Below are 25,017 nucleotides of genomic sequence, written 5' to 3'. Positions count from 1 at the left end.
TTGAAATTTTAGGTATTTCACATAATTGTAGGACCTTCCACTGGCTCAAATAAATCTATGTAATCAAATTCACATTTCCATGCCATCTCCACTCATTATGGCCATGAAACAGTGGTGTTCATCTTCATTTGGACATTTGCAATAAGCTAGACTAAAACAGCAGCAGTTTTGCTTGTTTGTTGCACCAAGTCACCCGTCCCTTTCTGCTAGAAAAGAGGGTTGAGCCCACCTTGAGCAGAAAGAGAGCATACTAGCTCTAAATTTCTTGCTATAAAATGCTGACAGGCCCACAAAGCTTCTCTTTCTTAAGTTACTCTAGAAAAAATCTCTAGTTGCCTTCTAGACCTTTAACAATCCCATTTCATAGCTGTCATTTATTCCTATTCATCCTGGGTAGAAAATATGTCTGGAATTCATTCCTTCCATTTCCAACTCCAATACCAAGGTCAAACATTTATCTCATATCTCAACTACTGCAACTGTCTCCTAACCAGCCTCTCTGTGTCTTATCTTTCTGCTGTCCAATCCATCATTCACAGAGATACCTGCTCCCAAAAAAGAAATTAAGGACTGCATTTTATTTATCCTTTGGATTCTCTTCCCTTCTTCTATGCCCAGGCACGAAAACATGTGTTTAAACTATTTCTTGCATGTCATTTCCCATCTGTCAAGTTTTTGATGGTACCTACTGGTTTCAGAAAAAGTTCAAAGAGTTTAGCCTACAATCAGGCCATCAAGGTTGTAGACTATATTCCCCCTCAGCAGAATAGCCCACCATTTTCTCCTTTAGGTGGCTCCAGTCATACAGAGATATTAAGTCTTCTGGAACATATAAGCAATATGTCTTTGTAAATGGCATGCCTTTCCTTTGTAAAATTCACTTTTCTTTGGCTCTACTCAAGAAACACCTACCAGTCCTTTAAGGTTCAACTTAAGCATCCTCTCTACTATAAAAATCTTCTCCAATACTACATTCAGATTAAACTTCTTCATCCTCTACATCTTCAAAAGACTTTCTTCATACTTCTATTATGACATTTATGTGATTCTAACTGGTTTTATACTAAACTTGGTAAAACACTTATCCATTTATTAAACTTGTTTTCTAGTAGTGAGCACAGAGTATTACACTTGCGTATGAAGTTGTTTTTCTCCCTTCTGTTATTCTTCCACAAGATTCATTCTTGTATCCTCCACAAGATCCATTCTTGCGTATAGTACACAACACATGCTCAGTAAATATTTCTGAATAAAAAAAGTTTCTCAATGGACTAAGTGTTATTCAAGGATGAGCACTGTGCCTTATTCAATTATATTTCTCACAGTGACTACAAAAAACTGAGTAACACAAACTGCTAGAGGTTGAAGAAAATATTGGGCTTAGATTCTGGCCATCAATATTCGACTAAAACTAAGACAATCCGTTATTTCTTCATTACAAAAGTATTTATTGAGTACATTGTTGATATGTTTTGGGGGTTTTGTCCCTTCCAAACCTCATGTTGAAATGTGACCTCCAATACTGGCGGTGGGCCTAGTGGGAGGTGTTTGGCTCATGGGGGCAGATCTCTCATGAATGTCTTGGTGCTGTTCTCATAGCAGTGAGTGAGTTTTCCCTCTGTGAGTTCAAGACAGATCTGGTTGTTTACAAGAGTCTGGCACTTCCTTCCTCTCTCTCTTGCTCCCTCCCCTGCCATGTGACATGACTTCACCTTCTACCAAGAGTATAAGCTTCCTGAGGCCCTCATCAGAAGCAAATGCCAACAGTATGCTTTGTGTATAGCCTGAAAAACCATGAGCCAAATAAATCTCTTTTCTTCATAAATTACCCAGCCTCAGGCATTTCTTTATAGCAATGCAAATGGACTAATGCAGTTGTAGATGCCAAACCTTATTTCTGAAGCTGGAGACAGATTTGTAAACAAGATAAACTACACCTGTGTTGAAGTGGAAGAAATTGTTGTATAAGCTAATAAATCAGATCTTTCCCCTAAACGTTTCTAACACCTAAATTCTAAGTCACACAAGCTTATAACGGAAGAATCATCAGTGGCTCCTCCCTATACCTGCTTCAAGTGTTATTTGACAAAATGTAAAATTGTGACTACTGGAGAACAAGGTGGTGAAGGAGAATGAGGATAAGGATGATGACGGCTGCATTTTTCTTCTCCTCTTTAATTTCAATTCAATCCTCGAAAATCAAACCCTCATTGTGCCTTTAGGGAAAAACTAAAATTCCTTTCTAACTATTCTTTCTACTTTCATGTTTCCCATGCCTATCATTCTCTTTCAGTACTGTCAGAATAATTTCCTTAAAAAGTAATGGTCTTATTACATCACAGCTCCATTCAAAATCCCTCAATGGCTTTGTATTACAGACACAGGGAGAACACCATTCAGACTCCTCAGCTTCATATTCAAGAAATCTTCCAAAGTCAACTTCCAATCTGTCCTTCCAAAATCATTTGCACCATTCTTCCTACAATCCAGACTTCCACCAGATTAGCTTTTGATTTTGTACCCCTGGACTCTCACTTGGCACTTTTCCATTCATTTTATTCAAATTCTACCTCTATATCTCAAGGCCCAATTCAAGAATTTTAAATTTGACTCTGATATTTCCCTTCTGCATATAAAAGTACAATATACTTTGTACTTTTCCCCTCAAGCTTACCTGTTTCTAACTCATATTTTGGTTATTTACAAATACAGTTTATGTATCCAACTACAGTGCATTTAATCACTCATTCAATAAGCATTCACTGTCTTGCTATTACTCCAAAGCACCCAGAATATATCATATTCAGGGTAAATATTAAGTAAATGTTATTGAAAGAGAAAAAACTCCTATTGAAATGAAAATGTACCCAAAATCAAAATAATCTCTTTCTAAATATGAACAATAATCACCACCAAAGAGATACATATAAATTGTAGCAAACTGTTGCTTATCATATTTAAATATGTATGAAAGAAGATGGGTAAGTCAATAGAAAACAGAAGCAAATAAAAAGCTAAGAAAACTTATTCAAAGTAATATGGAAATATTGAATGAATTTTGTCCACTTCAATTCATGGATGTACCTATCATCTCAAGACACAAATTCATAAATATACATGCATTAAGTCCATCAATTGAAAATGATGCACAGTTTCAGAATTCACTGAAATAAGAATCATAAGGGAATGTTTCCTAGACAGCACTTAATAAATTTTGTGAAATTTAATAAAAGTTTATGTGATAAAATTTTTTTCCTTTTCTTTCCTAAGCAAACAGCTTTAAAAGATGATTGATGGCTGCCATTATGGGTCTATATTTGTATTTCCTCATTTTAGAAGCTTTTCAAAAATATAAAAATACACTTAAAGCATTTCCAGTTATATTTTAAAAATGGTAAAAGGTGATTATTTATAGGCAATCATATTCATACTGATAGACTCTCAGAGAGCAATTGCAAACATAAATTTTAAATGCCTTTTGGAAATAGTTGAGGATGAAAACATTTACATAATTTTTTAGAAACCCTGGCTTTTTATTGCTGCATTTCAGTATTCCCTCTGGGCAAAGGAGCAGCTACTCTAAAGATTTATTTGATAATGGAATGTTTGATTTCTTTGTTTTCCCTTTCCAATGTAAGTTTATAGTTTTCACTCTACCACAATGTACCGTATTTTAAAATTTGAATTGGCTCACTATTAAGAATAAAAATGGTTCTGTTTTAGAGGATTAAATAAGCTAATGACAGCAATAAATAGAAATGCATAAATTACAGAAATTACTATATCCATATATAAGTCATCTTTGATAATAGACCTTCCACTTCATCATAATATAACTAGTGGCTGGTATCAAATGTCTAAAACTTCTACTTACCTGCCTATCCACTTCTGGGAGCAAAAGCAGGAGGTATTGTTGAAAATGCTGAGGTAAGGAAGCAAACGTATGTTTATTTATTAATGCCCTCAAGTTAGTGTTGACAAGAATAGATCCTGGGGTTTCTATGTCAATGTCCTCAGCTTTGGTCCATTTCAAGTGCCCTGTGATGAACAAGCAAGAGGCATGAATTTACTACAGGTAGAGGGAAACGTGTACGTACGTACACACAAACACAGCCACATATATCTAGTGAACATGTATATTCAATTTTATGTTTACTTCTACCCCTTTTACAAATGGTATTTCAGAAAAGAAATTCCCAAAGCTTCTTCCATTATGTGTCTGTCTGTCTTCAGTTATCTTTAGCTGTCATAATGTATACTTCACTCAATATCTTCTCTACTTTTAGCTCAAAGTAGCACCAGGTTCCAATAAAAAAATTTTAATTGTGAGCTTCCAATTAATCAGCATTTTCAAAAACTCTGAATGCCTGAATAGTAACAACTACAATTTATGTAAGTTCTATAAGACCTAAGGCTAATGATAACAGAAACAACAGTACTGTTAATTTTAATAGAGATACTGATAGCAAAAATAGCTGTGTGTTCCTCATGTGTCAGGCAGTGCACTAAGCACTGGATTATTTCAGAAGGTTCCTATTCAGGGCATTTCTGAGGGTGATAATTTAAAAAGCATTGTTTTAAAAAAACCTTAGGTTCGGCACAGTGGCTCATGCTTGTAATCCCATCACTTTTGGAGGCTGAGGCAGAAGGACTGCTTGACCTCAGGAGTTTAAGGCCCGTTTGGGCAACATGGTGAGACCACATCTGCACACACAAAAATTTTTTTTAATTAGGCAGGTGTGGTGGCATGCACCTGTGTTCCCAGCTACCCCAGAGTCTGAGGTGGGACGATCACTTAAGCGCGGGAGGTAGGGGTGCAGCGAGCCATGACTGCGCCACTGCACTCAGCCTCAGTGACAGAGTGAAACTCTGTCTCAAAAAATAAAAAATACAAATAAATTAGCCACTAGGTCTGAAATGCAAATATGCTCTGCAGGATGATTCCACAACTCAAGGCACACTGACCTCCAACAGAAGGCTGTATGTAGAGTTCACATCTCAAAATCATGAGACCCAAGAAAATAACATACCATAAGGGACAGTCAACTGATGCATCAAACACAGACAGAAGAATTACCATTCTGTTACTTGAGCTACGATAATGACTTGAATGTGATTTTATATAAAGAGTATGTTTTAAATCAGAGGTCAGAAAATTATGGCTCATGATTTATATCTGGTCCAATGCCTGCTTTAGCAAATAAAGTTTTACTAGAACACCATCATGTCCAATTGTTTATATGTCGTGTATGTCTGCTTTTGCACTACGATGTGGAGCTGAAGAGTTGTCACAGAAATCACCTGGCCTGTAAAGCCTATAGTATTTACTCGCTGGCCCTTGACAGAAACAGTTTGCCAATCCTTGTTTTAAATAACTAAAGACAAAAGAGTGACTTTTTTTAATTATGAAAATACAGGATACCATGATAAAAGAACAGTCAAATTTTAAGGAGAACCAGATAATACTTCTAGAAATACAAATTAAGTTAAGAAATTTAAAATTTTTTCAGTGGACATAACAGGGGAAAAATTATTGAGTAATTAAGATACAAACTTAAGGAAAATATATAGAGGGCAGTATAAAAATGATGAGTCAAAATGTGATAGGGAACAAATACAAAGAATGTAATAAGTCAAAATGCATATTTATAGAAGTTTCTGAATTTTAAAAAAAACACAGATTGCAGAGAGGCAATATTTGAATAGCTAATGACTGAAATATTTTTCAGAACTGAAATAATGATTAAAGTTCTTAAATAAAGCTACATACCAAATCTCAAGAAAGATACCCATTCCTCCATCTAGTGTGTTGAAATCTCCAAACATCAATAATAAAAGGAGTATCTTAAAACCATTTTTAACAAAAAATTGATTATCTCCAAGAAATTACAGTGTGATGGATAGAAATATTATCAATAAATCAATAAAGACAGTGACATCTCTTCAAAAGGGCAAGAGAAACTGTCAATTTAGAATTTCATTTGTAACTATGTCTCTAAAAAATGACAATTATAGCAATTATAAGAATGTTTTTGGTATCCTAAATCGAAACTCTATCCTTTAGAGAATCTTGCTGAAATAACCACTAGTGTATGTTCTTAACAAATAAAGCAATTATATCAAAGAAGAAATGCAATGGTTGCAGAGGCAATGATAAGCAAAGTGACTAATAATAGACATGAGTAAATCCAAACAAACATTCATTGTAAAAAATAATACTAATGACCTACGGAGGAATCAAACAAAGTGGAAATAAAATAATTCACAATAACTGTATGCAACATGGTAAGATGTAATTGAAATGAGAGCACTATAAAACTCTGGTATGCTCTGGGAACAAGAGAGATATGAACTAGTTCTTTATTTCATTAAAACTCTGGAAGTAGCTATTGGAAGAAAAAAAAAAGAATTATAATTTCCAAATAAATGGATAGATGGAAAAACTCAATCAAAAGGAAGGCACAAAAGGAGGAAAAAAATTAAAATTAAGCACAAAACAATCACAATAAAGGTAACTGGATTTTCACATTAGATTTTAAAAGTAACAACATCCATTTACTTGCTGCTTAGAAGAAATACACATAAAATAAAAATTATATGGAAAGAATAAAAATTTAGAAAATGAACAATAAACTAAAAACTACTAATCAGAAATTCAAAACAACAAAAAAGTCATACTGCAATATTAACATCAGACCAGATAAACAAAGGTAAAAAAATATATTATTAGGGATGAGAAAGATCATTCCTTAAGTGTATAAGGAATAATTTACTGGGAATATATAGTGACCTTGAACCTACATTCATTTAAATAGCACAGCCTCAAAATGTCAAATTCAGGTAATAAAAAAGAAATTGACATCACATAATGTTACCAGAAAGTCTTAACATACATTACCAAAACCTGATAGATTGGATCAAAATAATTGTCTTAAGGCTACAGAGAACTTTTACAACTCAATAATCAATCTTGAACCAAAGACTTTAACACAGGGCATTGTACTGAACCATTAGAGAAAGCATGTTTTTCCCCCAGGATTCAAAAGCAGCAAGAAAACAAAACACAACACAACTGTCCAGTGAGTCTCAACAGATACTGAAGAATAATATACAGCCTCATCTTTCTGTCCCAAATTAAATACAGTACCATATTAGAAAGGTATCAATTATCTAATACCCTACATATCCATTATATGTTTAGATGTTCAAAAGCACACTTGCATGTGCTTTACACGTTACAGAAAAAAAAATTGTAACGGAAATTATAAAGTATTTGAATTTTTAATGATACCGAAATTTTTGAAATGCCACTCAATTGGTTTTAAAGGTAAACTGCATATATTAGAGGGTAGAAAAAAATTGAAAATTAAAGGCTTACGTGTAAAAATAATGAAATTAATAAATGAACTAAAGAATAATAAGAAAGAAGGAAAGATGAGAAGAAAAAAGCAGACATTCGTTAAACAGAAAAGAATAATGAAAACCATCAACAATAAAAAAGTATTTTTTATTAAGCTATTAAAGGACATCTCTGGCCTGAGATGGTATAAACAAATGTGAAGAGGAATGAAAGGTAAGGACACAATACTTGACAGAGTACATATCTAAAGGCAGATGTAATTAAAAGTAGATTTTAAAAAGCATAATATTATGACTCTTTGCAATGTCATTGAATACAAATATTTTAAGCTTTATACATTTCCAAATTTAACCTGAAAAGAGAATGATAAATGTGTAAAAACTTTTTAAAAAATGAATCAGTACGCAACGCCCTCTTTCCCACATACACACAAAGCACAAATTGTAAATGGCTCTAAAGATAAACTTTATGTGAGGTGGGAGACTTACTTTCTTGACCTATCTCTGGAACTCCCTATTTCATTATACACATATTTCAGAAAAAAAGAAAAAACTTCTTCAATTGACTTTATAAAAATAATACAATCTTTATTACAAAAGAAAGAGCAGCAAGACAATATGAGAGAGACTGTATTAGCCAATCTTACTTATAAATACATAAAATTTTACAAGTTGTTTCCATTAAAAAAATCTAATATTTGTTGAGTTGAGATGTTGGGTATGTAGGTGTCTGTTCTACTAGCATCTGTATTTTTCCATATGTTTGAAATATTTCACAATAAAAATCTTAGACCAGAATTAGGAAGAAGCTTCTTTTCTCAGAAGTAGAGGCAAAGGCCAAACCTAGAGGCAAAAATGTTAAAATATATATATAGAGAGAAAAAAATTTGCTTAATTCTTATTATATGGCATAAATATTCTCATGTAACAGAGTTGAGGTCATTTATTGAGAGTAACTCTGATTGGAGGAAATGTTAGAAAACTGAGAAAAATGTAAAACGTTTTATTTTCTACTTCCGAAACATGTTATGAGCAATGTGAGAAATAGGAACTTACACTGCTATTATTTAGCATGGTTCAAAATGTTTAAGAATATCATAGAATAAAGACACTTCAGAGAGGCACACAGTCTTTTATGACAAAGTCAAAAGAAGATCTATTTCAAAGATGTCCACCTAAGCAAAAATGTGTTTTATGATTTTGGAACAAAGACAGAGAAGATGAACTAAATTTGTTGCCACAGAGGATGTTTAATTCCATTTTAATTATCCTTACACGTGTACTCTTAATTGGCTTAAGAACAATCCAATTATATATGATTGTCTTATCTCATTAAAGTTGGTACCTCATATCTCCCTATAGTACCCAGAGAAGGAAAAAAGATGTAGTCATTTTAGCGTTTAATTCCCACTTAGCCTAGAGGGTCTGAGGTAGGGCAAAGGGGAAAAGAACCAACAATTGCTACGTTGCCACAGCCTATGCTATACAAGAAGACACCTGACTGATCTCATGATAAAAATCATGGGGAATGTGTTCCATTAAGGTCAGGGAAATTCTCTATTATCTTGGCCACAGGGAATTTGAAGACCACAATTTGTGAAAGTTGCAGGCTCCAGAACACTTATTGATCACTGGGTAGTCTGCTGGCTTCAGGACTCACATTTCCCAGAAGGGAACCCACACAAGGATTATGCATGAAGTGTGCACACACAGAGATGCAGACACACTCACATAGAGAAGCAAACACAAAAGGCAGACCAGGCAGACAAGAAGCACTGCTCAAACACTGAGTTCAAAACCAAAGAGTTCTTCATGATCTCAAGGAATTAGAGAGGAATGATTCTGAAAAACAGCTCTGCTAGGTGTAGTGGCTCATTCCTGTAATCCCAGCTACTCAAAAGTCTGAGGTGGGAGGATTGTTTGAGGCCAGGAGATCCAGACTAGCCTGGAAAACAGCAAGATCCTGTATCCAAAATAAATAAATAAATAAATAAATAAATAAATAATAAATACATAAATAATAAAATTAACATTGGCATAATGGCGCATGCCTGTAGTCCCAGTTACTTGGGAAGATGAGGCAGAAGGGTTTCCTGAGCTCACGAGTTTGAGGCTGCAGTGAGCTATGATGGTATCACTGCACTTCAGCTTACACAAAAGAGTGAGACTATGTCTCTAAAATGAAATTAAATTAAATGGCGCTCAGAGAAGAAAAATCGGCTTTCAAAGAATAAAGTCTAATGGGAAAAATATCTATCAGAAGGCAAAATCTAATCAATACACAACATGAATCCACGTAGTCTTCACAAATGAAGAAATTGTGTAAAAAGTCTACATGGAGCACTGAGTCCATTAAAATATAGTACCAGGGTTAATGAACTATAGGAATTATGGTTAAACAAACAGAACATGAATGTTATCAACTTCGATATTCAAAAAGTATTGTAACGAAAACATGCAGGTAGGAAGGTCTGTAGTGTAATTATGTCCCTATCTTTTTATAATACATTGTCCAAAGTTGAAATGAGTAGTTAAAAAGGTAATCACTCTTATTTCAGTTTCTTATATTTGTAATAACTCTGGAGAAAACTTTTAGATATAAATATATCTTGTGGCAATATTTAACAATTTTGTTTTTTAGTTTTACTTTTTTATTTAATCTAAAATTAATTAAATTTTGTACTTTTAATTAAAATGGTATAATACAGGTTTTCTAATATCTCTGGCTATAGATACACAGTAAGAAATGTCAAATAATGTTTATAATGCACTGGAGATAATTATTTTGTATGAAAAGATGTGGGGTTATTATTCAAACTTTATTTTTATATTTATGCTTTGATTTATTTAAAGAGTATGTGCCATTTTATAAAACCAACAAAGCTATAATTCTTCACTCCAAAAACATTAAACCAAATAAAATACATTGGAATGAATCCCAGAAGTTAAGCCCACCAAGGACATTTATTAAAACCCCCTCGGAGACATCCATTAGAAGCTTAGATTTGTTTAGCAAGCACTTTTTAAACTCTTACTATGTGACTGGGTAGGAAGAAGTATAATTAAAACTAGTTTAGGTCAATGACCTTGAATTCAAGGAACTTACATTTTAGTTAGAGAAAATTGTAAGATATCAAGATGTAGAAAACAAATGGTAAGAGTATATTACTAAAGAATTTTTAAAGCATTCACAAATCTATGTTCTAAGTGCCATGAAAACAGTGAGATGATAATGTATTAGGGTTGTCTCAGAAAACTTCATGGGGGAGGGTTTTAAGTGGTTTATCCTTTGCTAAGACAAGGAGAGAGGGTATTATTAAAACAACTGATTAGGCAAGAAAAACACATGCTTCAAACCGCATTTGCAGCAGGCACCTACACTTCATCCCAGCAGATAAAGTTTCTACTGCCTGGTTATTTGGTAGTCTAACATTTACTGTTAAAATAATTTTCAAGGTCTATAATAAAGGAGTCCTTGTAGACATTGTTAGCATTTGTTTTATGCATATCAGAACAGTGTTTTCTATTGTACTTGATTAAGAAATAGGAAAGGGACCACCAAAGTTTTGTTTTGTTTCATTATAACCTCATCAGAGAAATACATACCATTTTAGAAGCACTGTATTTTTCAACTGCACTCACCCCGTGACCAAGTCTATTCAATCAGTGGGCTACTCAGAGAAATATCATCATAGTTTTCATACATAACCCTGGCCATGGGCAAACAAACAGAACAAAAGAAAAACCCTACATCAACAGTCGTAGCTTCCCAAGCTGGGTGGTATATTTCTCAGGAGAACGTCGAGGTTACCATCAGAATTAGAATGACTGAATAATTTTTTTTTTTTTTTTTTTTTTTTTGAGACGGAGTCTCGCTCGTCACCCAGGCTGGAGTGCAGTGGTGCCATCTCAGATCACTGCAAGCTCCGCCTCCCGGGTTCACGCCATTCTCCTTCCTCACCCTCCCGAGTAGCTGGGACTACAGGTGCCTGCCACCATACCCAGCTAATTTTTTGTAGTTTTAGTAGAGACGGGGTTTCACTGTGTTAGCCAGGATGGTCTCGATCTCCTGACCTCGTGATCCGCCCGCCTTGGCCTCCCAAAGTGCTGGATTACAGGTGTGAGCCACTGCACCCAGCCAACCGAGGAATTTTTTTCTTTTATTTTCAACTTAACATTTAAAATTGAGATTGAGGAATTTTGAAGCTTCTTCTTCTTATTGTTGTTTTATTGTGCGCTTTAACCCTCTCTAGGGAAGCTGAGCATGAAAGGGTCTGAGGGGGTCCATGGTGCCTCCTGTACTGAAGAGTGTTGAGAGAACATACTGGGGTCCATTGTCTCTTAGGCTACACTCCTTAGATGCTAAGGCCCAAGTGAAACTCAGGCCTTGCACAGGGTGAATATCTTGCAATCTGATAAAGCAACTAATTGCTAGAAATCAAGAGGAAGCACTTAGGGGACAATCAGAAGAATTTTCTATCCTTTTAGGAAAATATCACAATGAGAAAAAAATTGTAGACTAACACCCTGAACTCTGGTTTTCACTGGATTTTGTTTCAGAGTTATTAACTTAAATTAGAACAGACTTACAGCATTTGTTTTAATTCAGCATGGTTTCAACAGGTTAGGACTTATACATACCTACCACTACCTAGAGAAGGCAAGGACAGTAAAAAACCTCATTTCCAAGACCATATGAATTAGATGTCTAACTCAGGTGGAAAAAATAGAAGAGGGAATACAGGCTGTCTCTATCTGGCTGGCTAAAGGATATGAGGTGGGATCACTCCTTTGCACTGATTCTGCTACATGCTGGTATGCAAAGAATGACCTTCTCCACAAACACAGGATCATTTTTATTCAAGAAGATAGGAGGAGCTTCACTATGGACACCCTAGGATGTGTCATTCATTCATCCAAACTTCTAGGCCATTCAGTTAATTAGAATCAGTCATTCATTCCAAACTCATTGAGAACCTACTAAACAGAAGGGCTATGATGGTTGTAGTAAGGACTACAGATGTAGACAGAAAGGCCACTGTTCCAAGGAGTTAACAACTTAATGGCAAAGAGCAGAATGTACGTAAATAACCCTTACAGAGTATTAAATATCAGTCTGATTCTAATAGGGCATTAAAAACATCATTGTCTAAAAAAGACATGGGTGGCTGGGTGCGGTGGCTCACGCCTGTAATCCCAGCACTTTGGGAAGCCGAGGCAGGTGGATCATGAGGTCAGGAGATCGAGACCATCCTGGCTAACATGGTGAAACCCCGTCTCTACTAAAAATACAAAAAATTAGCCGGGTGTGGTGGTGGGCGCCTGTAGTCCCAGCTACTCGGGGGGTTGAGGCAGCAGAATGGGGTGAACCCGAGAGGCAGAGCTTGCAGTGGGCCGAGATCGCACCACTGCACTCCAGTCTGGAGCGACAGAGCGAGACTCCGTCTCAAAAAAAAAAAAAGACATGGGTTACTTTCTGGAGATGGTTACATTTAAGGCCCATCCTTTCATTCCATGTTTTTTCATTTTCTACTGCTGGGCATATATTGGAAACTTTGAAAGTACTACTGACTTCATTTGCACAAAATAAGCCATTCCATTCAGCTGCTTGATAGGTTAGTCAGCCAGTCACAGTTCCTACCCAGTAAACACTTGCAGTTTATTTTTGACAGAATTGTACTTCAACTGGCTTATTTTAAATCTCACCTTCTTCCTCCTTGTGTTTGATACAGGATAGGGTGAGAAATCTTACAATTGCTAGCTCTCCTTCCATGTGTAGTTAGACCTGCACTTTAACACCTATGGTAGTCTCACCATGTCATTTCTTGTATTTCCCTCAGTGGCACCTACAGGTCTAAAATATAGGTTAGATGATTTGACATTCAGATTCTATCCAAAATGAATGGCTTAGACTTTGGAGTTAGATATGCCTTGGTTTGTATCACTTAGCTGTGTCATCTTCATGTAACCTCCTTAACCCTTCAGGATCTCAGCTCCTTCAGCTGTAAAACAGACGTCATTCTACTGTACAAAACTGAAGTAAAATTAAAAGACATAACTTATGTCAAAATACCTAGACCATTCCATTATATATGGCCAGTGAATGTGACTTCACTTCTCCATTCCTCCATTAAAGTAGTTTCATTATCTCCATTACTTTGTAGTCTAGAACAAAGCAGGTTTGAAAGATTGGGGGCGCTCTTTCATTATCTTTTAATTTGCTAACAAGTCAGCGGAAATACTTCAGCAACACGATATTTAACACATAAGGTATTTAGTGGCATGCAGGATTTCCTAAAAGCAGGCTTGTATATCAGTCTTTATATCTTTCAGTTGACTTTCAGTATTAAAACAAATTCTGATTCTCTAATTCATTGAGCATGGACTTCAAGGTACAAAAATCAGAATACAAGAAATCCTGGGCCAGGCATGGTGGCCCACTGCAATCCCAGCACTTTGGGAGGCAAAGGCAGGCGGATCACCTGAGGTCAGGAGTTTGAGACCAGCCTGGCCAACATGGTAAAACCCTGTCTCTACTAAAAATACAAAAATTAGCTGGGCATGGTGGCAGTGCCTCAGCTACTCAGGAGGCTGAGGCAGGAGAATCACTTGAACCTGGGGGCAGAGGTTGCAGTGAGCTGAGATGGCACCACTGTACTCCAGCCCAGGCAACAAGAGCGAAACCCTGTCTCAAAAAAAAAAAAAAAAAATACTGAAGATCTCAGCCCCTGAGAGGATACTGATAAGGGTATACCTTAGTAACTTTCGCTCCTGAAGTTACTAAGGAAATAAATGGGGATGCCCCTGTGCCTTAAATTTTTGTACACTCATTACATGGCACTAACTTTACAGAGGTTGGTAGCTGTTTTTAACTAAAGGCCGCAGATGTTTAAATTCCTTAGTGTATGATAATGTGGTACTGTTTTGGATTTTTAGTATATTCTTTATCTATCATTCTCCCACTATAGTTTTCTATTTCAGAAGTAACTTATATTAAAATACTTACAACACCCAGAGTATTAGGAAAGAATATGTCCATGTACAGGTAAGTATGGTTATACACAAACATACATTTTGGGATAGAGAATAACTAAAATTATTTGGCCTTAAAATAATGCAAAACAAAGAAGTATGCTATATTTAAAGACTTTAAATAAAAAAGAGATTCTGCTTTCCTAAAGGTCTCTTATTTAAATATAAATAAATCCTATTTAAAGTCTTTTTATTAGAAGTATGTCCCAAGATTTAGCAAAATGTCTGTCATATAGTAGCAACTGACAAAACTTTACTAAAAAAAAATCAGATAAAATCTTGAATTTTATAAACAAATACACTCTGCAAATAAGAATTATCTCAAGTTGCCAAGAAAGTAAGTGGCAGAACAGGTAATAAAGTTCACGTCAATAAATTTGCAGTTTCTGCCAAACATTTTACAAAATATTGTAACGATCCAGGTTATTATCATGATCCTATTCACAGCTAAAACAACTCAGAGAAATGAAGCCATCAGGATCTAGGTGCAGCAACAAGCCAGTGGCAGTTGAGAATTCTAATGTTCAAACCAGGATATGTTTATTTTTGTCTTTCTAATTCTCATGCTCTTTTCTCCCTGAATGCTGTTGGGGGTTCCTGATGAAAAGTTATCAGGAAAGAAGTATGTTGAAGAAAACCTGGTGCTGATTTGAAAGACCCGTGGCCTGTGTCTCCAACATTTCTCAGCAATTTTACATTTTTTCAGACAGGCACTACTAAATATTTTAAGAAGCATAGACAAAAAGCAAGGAAGAGCAATTTTACTGCAGCAGACCCCACTGACAATGTACTCTCCAGTTCAGTGAACCCTTTATAAAGACTGCATTTTTTTCTTCCAAGACAGCATATTCCAATAAAGTGAAACCTAGTTGCACAGACAAAACACCGCACATTAGATAGTATCATGACCCGGCAGATAATTATTTTACATGTATCATTTTAAGTCTCATTTTTACCCTCTGCTTCATCCAATATTATCATTCACAAATTTAGTAATAGGCTTAAGACCATTCAGTTGTAACTAGAATGTTTCCTTATTTAGCATTCTTTTTGGTTTTGATAAATGGAGGGAAATTTTAATTTCCTTGTTTAATCATTAAAAAATGTTCTGAAAATTTTAGATAATTTATTTGAGAAAACACAAATTTCTAAAATGTGAAATGGCATAGTCTATTAAACACTCACCTAAACCAGACTTTTTTAATCGTTTTAAGTGCTGACTTGTTTGTTTTCCAGTGGGAGATTTTTGCCCATGTTTCATTTCTTTATCTGAACTGTCTGCTTCACCATTTTTAGATTCAGATCCTAAAAAAGGAAATAGTTATTATGTCATTATCTTCTCTAGCTGTCCTTGAAAAGAAAAATCTAAAATTGTTTGAGGAACTGTAGATATAATCTCCTTTTCTAGAGTTAATACACTACCTTTGGCCACAATCTGATTCCCCTACTGGATATAAAAAGAGAAGCCCAATAAATCAATCAAACAGAACAAAAAGCAAGAACAGATGGCCTAATAGTGGAGTCAAAACTACGTTCATTGATCTGATAGCTTTTAAAAGAAATAGAGTCAGGTCTTTTGTAAAATACACGAATAAGCTTGAACAATACTATGCCATTCTGAGACAACACAAGACAGACACGGAAAGATGAAAAAGAAAGGAATCTTGAAGAGAGGGAGAGATTATACCTTTATAAATAGCTTTATGTTGAAGTATGAACAGAAAATACAAACGTTAATCCACAATAAATAGAATAGTACATAGCCGATAAAGTGACACAAGGTAAATTAGAAGACAAGGTCAGGGCTGCACTGGGGTGAGAAGAATGCTGCCAGAACACAAAAACTAATAAAAGGATTTCTGACTTTGCAGCACAGGACTGAAAAACAAATTCACACTCACAGAGAACTGCTTTTGATGGTATTATACATCAGCATGTGGTCCACCCTTAAAGTTCAACATTCAAACAAAAGCCAAAGCAACAACAACAACAAAATTCGCCTACACATTTTCTTACACCTACTGTCATTAGCAAATGAAGACATTTGCTGATGATGAGGCAAGCAAGCTGGTACCTTTTTCTTTTCTGAACTGGAAATAGTCTATATTTTTGAATCACTGAGTCAAAGGTATAAAGAAATTAAACCAAACCTCAAGTGGAAGTATTATTCAGTTTCAGAAAAAAAATCATGACATCTCTTTCAGTGAGGAAGTCTCCTCCAGGAAGAAACTGGCCAAGCATATGATATTTCAGCTCTTTACCTGAAGGCGAATCCGACTGCTCATCAGACACCTTTAATGGTGTCAAAACAACACGAGGAACAGTCTTGTTTACCATCATTGAGACTCCATTTCTTCTTTTCTGCTGCTGCCTCAAAGCCTACAAAACATAATAAAAAGATATAACATAAAAATATAGCCAAAATAATTTCTCATAATTGAATTAAGTGACTCATTTGTCCATCATTACATAGAACCTCTTAAGAGACTTAAATTCCACAGAGCCCCTAATTTCTCAGGATTCTTAATAGTTACCTTCATGTCATTTTCCCTCAAAAGCATAAAATCAGGCTTTGGCAAAGGGTATAAGCCCGAGACCATTTTCGGTATAATTCTAACAACAAAGCAGCACTTAATGGTTTCTTCTACCTTAGCACTGTGGCTTGAGAGTCCATGGAATTTGAAACTATGACTCCCAAGTCAAATGAATGTAAAATAAATGTTTCGAAACCAGGATAAAAATATATGTGTCTGCACTTCTCTCGCAGGTGCGTCCTCTCCAGCGTACCGCTCAGTCAATCAAGTTAACACTGAGTGTCATCAGTATGTACAGCATGTAAGGACTACAGTATTGATGCACTCACTCAGCCATGGGGAGCACTGCACAAAATCACTCAACATGGCAGGAATCATTTATTTCTGTGAAGGGAATCAGTCCTAATCTTGGAAACCTTGCAGCACTTGGCTTCTGTCTGCTTGACTTTGGGCATTAACCTTCAGAACACGAACATGACAGATTCTAGCAAATCCAGGAAAAAAATGAATATAAGAATAAATCTGTCCAAATGGGAGCACTTTGTGTTTCATAAATGAATCGACCACGGTGATGATAATGTAATAAAAGACATTTAAAAGTTTTGAAATACAGCTTATCTAGCTGATCACTTTATACAGAAAATTACCTGTAATAAAAAGGGTCTTAAGCACACGAAACTGAAGAGCCATTAAATTCACAGCCACAGGAATGCTAAAACTCCTCAAAAGGTTAAAAGGCTGGCTTCATACTGCCTCAATCCTTTTTATTCCTAGTTTCTGTGTAATTTCTACCAATTTTACAACATCCCAGTTACTTGATTAATGTTCTTCGACTGAGAGTTGTCAGAATCTCCTGAAAGACTGCCTTGACTGTATTTCCCCTTGCTATCAAAAAACGATGTCCTTTTATTTGCAAAGGGTATTAGCTGATGTCCAACTTGTCAACCATAAGATTTAGCAATCAAATAATTATAGAAGTGAAAATTAAATACCATTTAAATGAGAGAAAGCATTTAAATTATGCAGACAACTTATTCAGATAAGATTTAAAGCCTGATGAGAAAGTAAAGGCTTGGGAAATCCATTACAAATGATATGGTTGCTAATGATAACATAAGACATATTTTCTTTGATTCTTACATTTATTAAGTTTTCATAAAGTACCCAGGTACTATATATGGGAGAGGGGCAAAAAATACAAAGATTAATAAGATGCCATCCTTCTCACCTTTAGCCTGCTGTTATTAATATATTTAATGAGGACATATGTGTTATAAAATATTTAAGACATTTACTCTTTCTTCAAGATGTATACATAATTGCACATAAATTTTGCACATAATTGAATCAATCTGTCTAGCATTGTATAAGAATTCAAAGTACTTTATAGAAATTAACCTATCAATCAATAATAAAACAGAATACAGCAACATAGCATAGCAATTTAAATTACAATTAAGTCCATCTTTGCCCATTATGTAAGACTTCACAAAACAATTAAACCTGCATAAAGAGTGATCAATTTTTAGGAGTCTTTATAGCATATATTTAAACTACTTCTCATGGAAAAAAAAATTAGACATTTTAAAAATAGTTTGTGTGTGTGTGGTGTGTGTGTGTGTTTGGTTAGAGTTTATTTTAGAAAATATTTAGGGAAAAAAAGATGAACTAATTAGAAGCTGGAATCATAAAGTCAAAGCTGGCATGTCTTTTTAGAGCATTTGTGGTAAATAATAATTAAAGCAACGAAAATTTTGACCTCAATTTCTAGAGCTGAGAGGACTCTGCTATAGAAAAATTAGTAATCAGACAGAAGAAAACCATAATAAAAATGATATAAGAATAAAAACCCATAGCAATTTTTAATTTTAAAAAGACAAGGTATAGTCAAGGCAAGGATAAAGGAAGGTGACCAATATTGAGCCTGTTTGTATGATGTTTTTTGAATATATGTCTCCTGATCAGACAACCTGACTATTTCTTAGTACAATATTTTTAAAAGCACTGACACACATTATGTGTCTGTAGGCAAACAAAACTAAATGCCTACTATATAAAAAGATTTTTTTTCCTATTTTTTTTTTTTTTTTGAGATGGAGTCTCGCTCTGATGCCCAGGCTGGAGTGCAGTGGTGCAATCTCGGCTCACTGCAAGCTCCACCTCCTGGGTTCAAGCAATCCTCCCACCTCATCCTCCTAAGTAGCTAGGATAACAGGTGTGCACCACCACCCCTGGCTAATATTTTTTTGTTTTTAGTAGAGACAGGGTTTCACTATGTTGGTCAGACAAGTCTTGAACTCCTGACCTCAAGTGATCTCCCTGCCTCAGCCTCCCAAAGTACTTGGATTACAGAAGAATTTTATAGAATTTCAGAATTTTCTGAAAAATTGGCAGTGTGATGCAGTGGTTAAGGAGTTGTAGAGAAAGATTTAACTAACTAGCTGCTGGGTAAATGACTTGGGTCAATGTCCTACAAAACAGAGGTAGTAGTGCAGGCAAGATGCTTTAAACAGAAAATCTGCACAACAGTGGTTAGCAGAGTTTACCTTACATAGTAAATACTCAACAAATATCATTTTTTGTTATTTATATAACTTATCCTTTCTGCAACCAATGCATTTTTGAGACCTTATTCAGTTCTATGGTAGCATAAGTGCTGCTGATTTATAATGGTGAATAGGGACAGTAGTTTTAATTATTCCACATTTTAGTGAAGGATTGACAAGGAAATACATGAAATAATATAAGTGTTTCACTCACATATAAGTGCTAAGAAAATTATGCCAGAAAGATGAAGTAGGGTAACTTGGGCGGGGAGAACCAATTTAGAGTGGGATGTCAGATACGGCCTCTCTGGAGGCAACAAAGGAAGTGAGACATAAATGACAAGAAGAAAGTGGTTGCGTGAAAATTGTGGAGTCTCCAATAAGTAAAAAAATAGTATCACATCCACTAGCAGGGATAACTTTTCATTATTCCAGAAATTAAAAAACAAAAAACAAAAAAAGAACGGAGTAGATGGAAAAAAGGAGTAGGGAGTTTACAGAGAAAGCAAAGAACTCCAAAATGGTTGCCAAGGCTTTATAAATTAGATTCGAGGACTTATATTCAGGATTAAAAACATGAGGTCAAATATAAAGCTTCCCTTCTAGCCTCCCCAGACCATGCCTAGGTCTCAAATCAGAAATTTCACTGGGAAAGGGTTTCCTGATTTTGTTATTCCTTTGTTTCCTCTTTCTTTTTTTCTGAGATCCCCAGGATTAGGATTCAGAATAGGAGTGAGAAGACTAGAGCAAAGTTATCTTAACCAGTGTTGTCATAGCCATGACATCATAACCTTCTGGGAGGCAGAAGGCCAACTGCTAGATTTTTATGGCCTGCATTAGTGGATACATAAGAGGCTTTTGCTGGGAGGCCTCTGAAACTACATTCAACACTGACATAAACCACGCTCTCTCTAGCTGACCTCCGCACTTCCCCTCAGTGCAGGCTCTATATACAGGGCTCCTCTCACCTAAGTAGGCAGCTTTCCTAGGCAAGGTCTTTACAAATTCCCCATGCTTGACTAGCTGTTCAGCACCTGCTCAGGCCACAAGCACAGTCAGCATCCTTGTCCCACTGTACGACGTGTAGCCTAGCCATTATGGTCAGCCCTCTGATTTAACAAATCTCATAATCCTTCAAAATACAAGGTTTGGAACACACACACCCCAAATCTTGAGTTATTTTTTTTTACATCTGTTGGGGGTTGTTCAATCGACCATCTGGCCTTCTCTTAGTCCTGTGAGGCTATGTCTAACACCTCTCTTCCAAACAGGGTTACTGGTATCATACTGTCTGCAGCTTTGAGCTTTTGCTGAAATTCTAAGAAAACAAGAAAATTCCTACTTTACTTTATGCTACATATATAATAGAAATCATCTGCAAATTAACTTGTGATTATCTATATTTGGGTATCTCACAGCCTGGATATTATAAATTCATGGAATAGATTAAGAAAATAGGATTAAGAAGATCACTCTAGATAGTCATGGATGCTGTGTCCTGCACAGGGGTACCCTAAAAGAGGGGATGTTATATTTTGTTGTGACAACTTGGAAGGGGCAGCTTTTTCTATTACACATCAAAGTCTTAATTAGCTAGTGGTGGCCCTGTTGGTTTGTCTATAATGTGATTTATTTTGACAGATATTACATAATCAGTCTATTTTAGTCTAGATTCATTTCAGGGGGGGATATAAATGAGACACCTCCAACTGTCTCAAGCCTTAGCTGTACTGTGGAATGCTAATGGACTATCTTGTAGAACAACTTTAAATTCTGTCATTTCAAATCCAGAAAGAAGCAATATCAGAATCAAAATAAACAAGCAGATGGTGACTGTAAATGCAGTCTACTATGAAGGAATGTACCTTCAAGCCGGTCATATGTATAATGTTCCACTGTCCAAACCACACAGAGTACAATTTCAATATCGATGGTGTTATGAGAAGGAGTATAATTGGATTTCAACTTTAATGCTTCCAGGTATTATTCAATATGAAAGAAATTTACAAGCTTAACCCTAGAAATAAATGCACTTTTCAAAGGAAACACACACAACATAGCTAATGCAGTCTAGGAAAAGTAAAGATCATATCACACTCACATCAATTCAATTCTGGCTCTAAGTGCAAGGAAAGAAATCAAAAGATGCTGACTGTGCATGCTTTTCTCCAGTGACATATTGCAATACTTTCTTCCAAAAAGAGAAAAAAAAAACCTTTAAATAAACATTTGATTTTTCAGACAGAAAGCCTGTTAGATAGTTCTAAAAATATGGATTGGTTTCATTCCTATCCTAATGGAAAAAATAAAATAAAACTTCAAATCAGAGGCTTTTGTGTTAACTTGGAATTTTAAGCAAGTAATGCCTGCTTTATTTTAACAACAAAAAAACACAAGCAATGTAGCTTAAGAATGCATCGAATGCAGTAACTCTTCCACTGAAAATCTGAAAATATCACATGCTGTGAATGCTAAAAGTCAAATGATTAGAAATACACATAGAAAACAGCGGGCTGTTTCAGGCACCAACAACTTGCATTGCCGCTAGTGTGATAAATGTCAATGCCCATGTTCAGAAACTACTATCATGCAATATAACCTTTGGAATTTCACAGTATTGGTCAAACATATAAAGCTAAAGCAAAATACCAAGAATAGATCTGCTTTGCAATATCAAAAAGAAAATGCATCTGCAACTTTATGAATAAACTCTACCACCCTAAATAATGAAGGAAGTCAAATAAACCAACACAAACAACATAGAAAGGTTATGTTCACTACCATGTCACTTGCTGTAACACAACTCATCCTTCTTTAACCTTTAATTATCTTGTGCCGGTTTAAAATTTCCAAAATTTAATCTTTCTGAATTATATTTTAAAATTCAAAATCTAATCTTTTTACACTTTTTAGGATCATAACTAAAATACCCAGGCAGAAAGAAGACAGGGAACAAGGTAATAATCAGCAATCTGCTGCTCTCCAGAGGCTTCTGAATATGCTTATGCAGAAAAAAAAGACAACTACTGAAATAACAATATGTTATTCATGCAATTATGCCCAACATATGATGTTAACTAACGTTTTGAGGATTAGAAAGTAAAAGGGACTCAAATATTTGGGAGCAATAAAAATATTCCATGTCAATCGTCAAGGGACATTATAGCTTCCAGATTGTCCAGCTTACAATTACACTGCAATCAACAGTGCTATGACATCAAAGAGCCCTGTAAACATGTAGCCCTCTCTGTAGCAACATGCTTTAGGCAGGGGTAGAAAGTACAGGCCTTCAGACTTGAGAAATTATGCCTGGCATATTTTGTAAGACAGTTTGTTGTAAATTATTTTTTTTACTCCACTTATGATTATAAAGCTATTTGGTTTTAGGAATTTTTTAAATCTACTTATTTCTAAGAGTCTACGCTGGTTAATGTATAGACTACTAAAGTCCTACTGAATCACAACATATTTCTAATAAAATAACAATGACATATATTTGAGTGTGTGTTATCAGTATGGGCTGGTACTGAACATAAGCAGCCTGTGTTCAGAAATGCTATTTTTAATAACTATGCTGTATTGCTTTCCATATGCTATATAACAACTCAAGTATGTAGATTTTCTTGGATAGCATCAAAAATTCGTCTATACTATTACATAGCACATGCTGAAAGGCAGTATTTGTGAAGAGGGCAGAATCTGAAACTACGGTTCTGGATTCAAACATCATCTCTAAGATTTACTTGCTGGGTGATCTTGGGCAAGTTACCTGACTTGGGTCTTAGTTTTTTCCTTTGAAAAATGGGGATATAAGTACATACTTCAAAGCATTTGCATGAGAATTAAATAATATATCCCACGTAAAATGGAGAGTACAGTGTCTAGAAACCATAACAGCTAATTATCAGCTAATGTAATTATTTTTAAGATCATTCTGCTGGCCCTAGGTTCATATGATTATGATTGTGCATGTATACATACACAAGAAACATATATTCACAAACACAGATCATATGTATATGGAAATATATATATATGTATTTAATACACTTACAAAAATTCTACATGGTCATAGCCATTCAGCTATCCAAAAGAAAAGAAAGCTGTAGATTTGCTGAGGTTGCTACAGTTTAAAATGCTGCATGTTCAGTCAATTTTTGCAATGCTGTCTTAAGAAATTCAGCAATTACATGGAATCTGGGCAAAATTCTGCAAGAATAGCTTTTCTTCTAAATATATTTCCAATCTGAATTTGATTATTAATCAAATATTAGCATATTTGCTACATATTGAGCCATATTCTCCTGGTTACTTATTTGCTATAGGTTAGAAAACAGAAGTTTTAAGAAATGAATTAATAACTCTTTCAGGACATTAAGAAGCTTTCAGGACATGATTCTTAAAACAAAGCTTAGACTCTAAGCAAGCAGTGGCAGTTCCCATGAATATATGCTCCACAAAAAACACAAAAACAAAAAAATCACTTAAAATTTTGTAATGTTTTAGTAATCGTAAAAAATGTTCAAATAATACAAAACCAAAATGATGAAAGTACAAATTAATGATATAGAACAATACAGAGAGTTGTACCTTTATATTTCCATTCATATACAGGAAGATTTCATGGTGTGCACATTTTCCAAGTCACTGAACCTCAGAAGTATGAGTTTCATTTATGATCCCATTTATGTTTCTTAAATGCCACAGCCACAAGTGTCCATTTTTGTATCTTTTGTTCTATTCTGGTTAGTATTTTATTACCTGCATCTTATTTGCTGTCTGAATGAGTAGCCCAGGCTTTGCTACCTACAGCTGTTTTTTATTTCATCAATTAAAAAGGGATCTCAACACCAATTTCAATTTTGTTCTCTGGCATCTAAAACATTTCAAATGCAGTAAGTGGCAAGCTTTCCAAAGGATACTTGACCTATGCAGGGTGAAATACTGTTACTACCTTCAATATAAATGCTGCAATGTCAATAATATGAAATAGGAAGGTAACATAATTCAGCATAACCATGTTAAGTTTCTTTCCTATGTTTTCTTGTCTGAGGTACAGGAGAAGATAGGTAGAGATGTCTAAGTCTAGAAGTTTGGATGTGCATATTAAGAAGCTTCAGTGGTTGGTGGAACTTAAAAAAACTCTATTTTAGAAAACATAATTTTTCTTTTCCTTGTGATAAATATATCGCTAGAATGATACCTCTAATCCTGGATCTGGTAAAGGTCATCAATGGGTGGCTGAAGGGGGAATTGTTATAGAAGGATCAAAATAGATGATTGTATCAGAGGAAAGCACTTAAACAAGGGGAAACTATGAATTCAGAATTAAATACGTGAACCTTCCATTTACTGACACTCTTTGTGTTATCATCATACGATGGCTCCATCTAACCATAACATCTCCTCCTTTTCTTCTCTGCACAATTTAGCATTTGCCAGTATGACAGAAGTCACTATTATTTCTATGAGCCACTCACTCTACCATGTGCTTTCATCCTATTACCTCAGCTAATTCTCGGATCAATCCCAGGAGCAAGATACTA

At 35.1% G+C, this 25,017-nt stretch overlaps 1 protein-coding gene across 8 annotated transcripts in view; it reads right to left on the bottom strand.

Moving 5' to 3' along the window:
• Nucleotides 1-25,017, bottom strand: part of ASXL3 (ASXL transcriptional regulator 3) — a 172,977-nt gene that overhangs the window by 63,753 nt on the left and 84,207 nt on the right. For all 8 annotated transcript variants that reach the window (XM_005258356.2, NM_030632.3, XM_011526205.3 and 5 more), the window contains 3 exons: nucleotides 16,653-16,770; nucleotides 15,577-15,696; nucleotides 3,875-4,038 (listed from right to left, as the gene is read on the bottom strand). In XM_005258356.2, the coding sequence (XP_005258413.1) occupies nucleotides 3,875-4,038; nucleotides 15,577-15,696; nucleotides 16,653-16,770 (402 nt within the window). The remainder of the gene's footprint in view (nucleotides 1-3,874; nucleotides 4,039-15,576; nucleotides 15,697-16,652; nucleotides 16,771-25,017) is intronic.

Source organism: Homo sapiens, chromosome 18, assembly GCF_000001405.40.
Source record: "Homo sapiens chromosome 18, GRCh38.p14 Primary Assembly".
In the NCBI taxonomy this organism is placed as follows: Eukaryota; Metazoa; Chordata; class Mammalia; order Primates; family Hominidae; genus Homo; species Homo sapiens.
The sequence above is the reverse complement of the archived record's forward strand: the minus strand, read 5'-3'. Positions and strand labels throughout refer to the sequence as shown.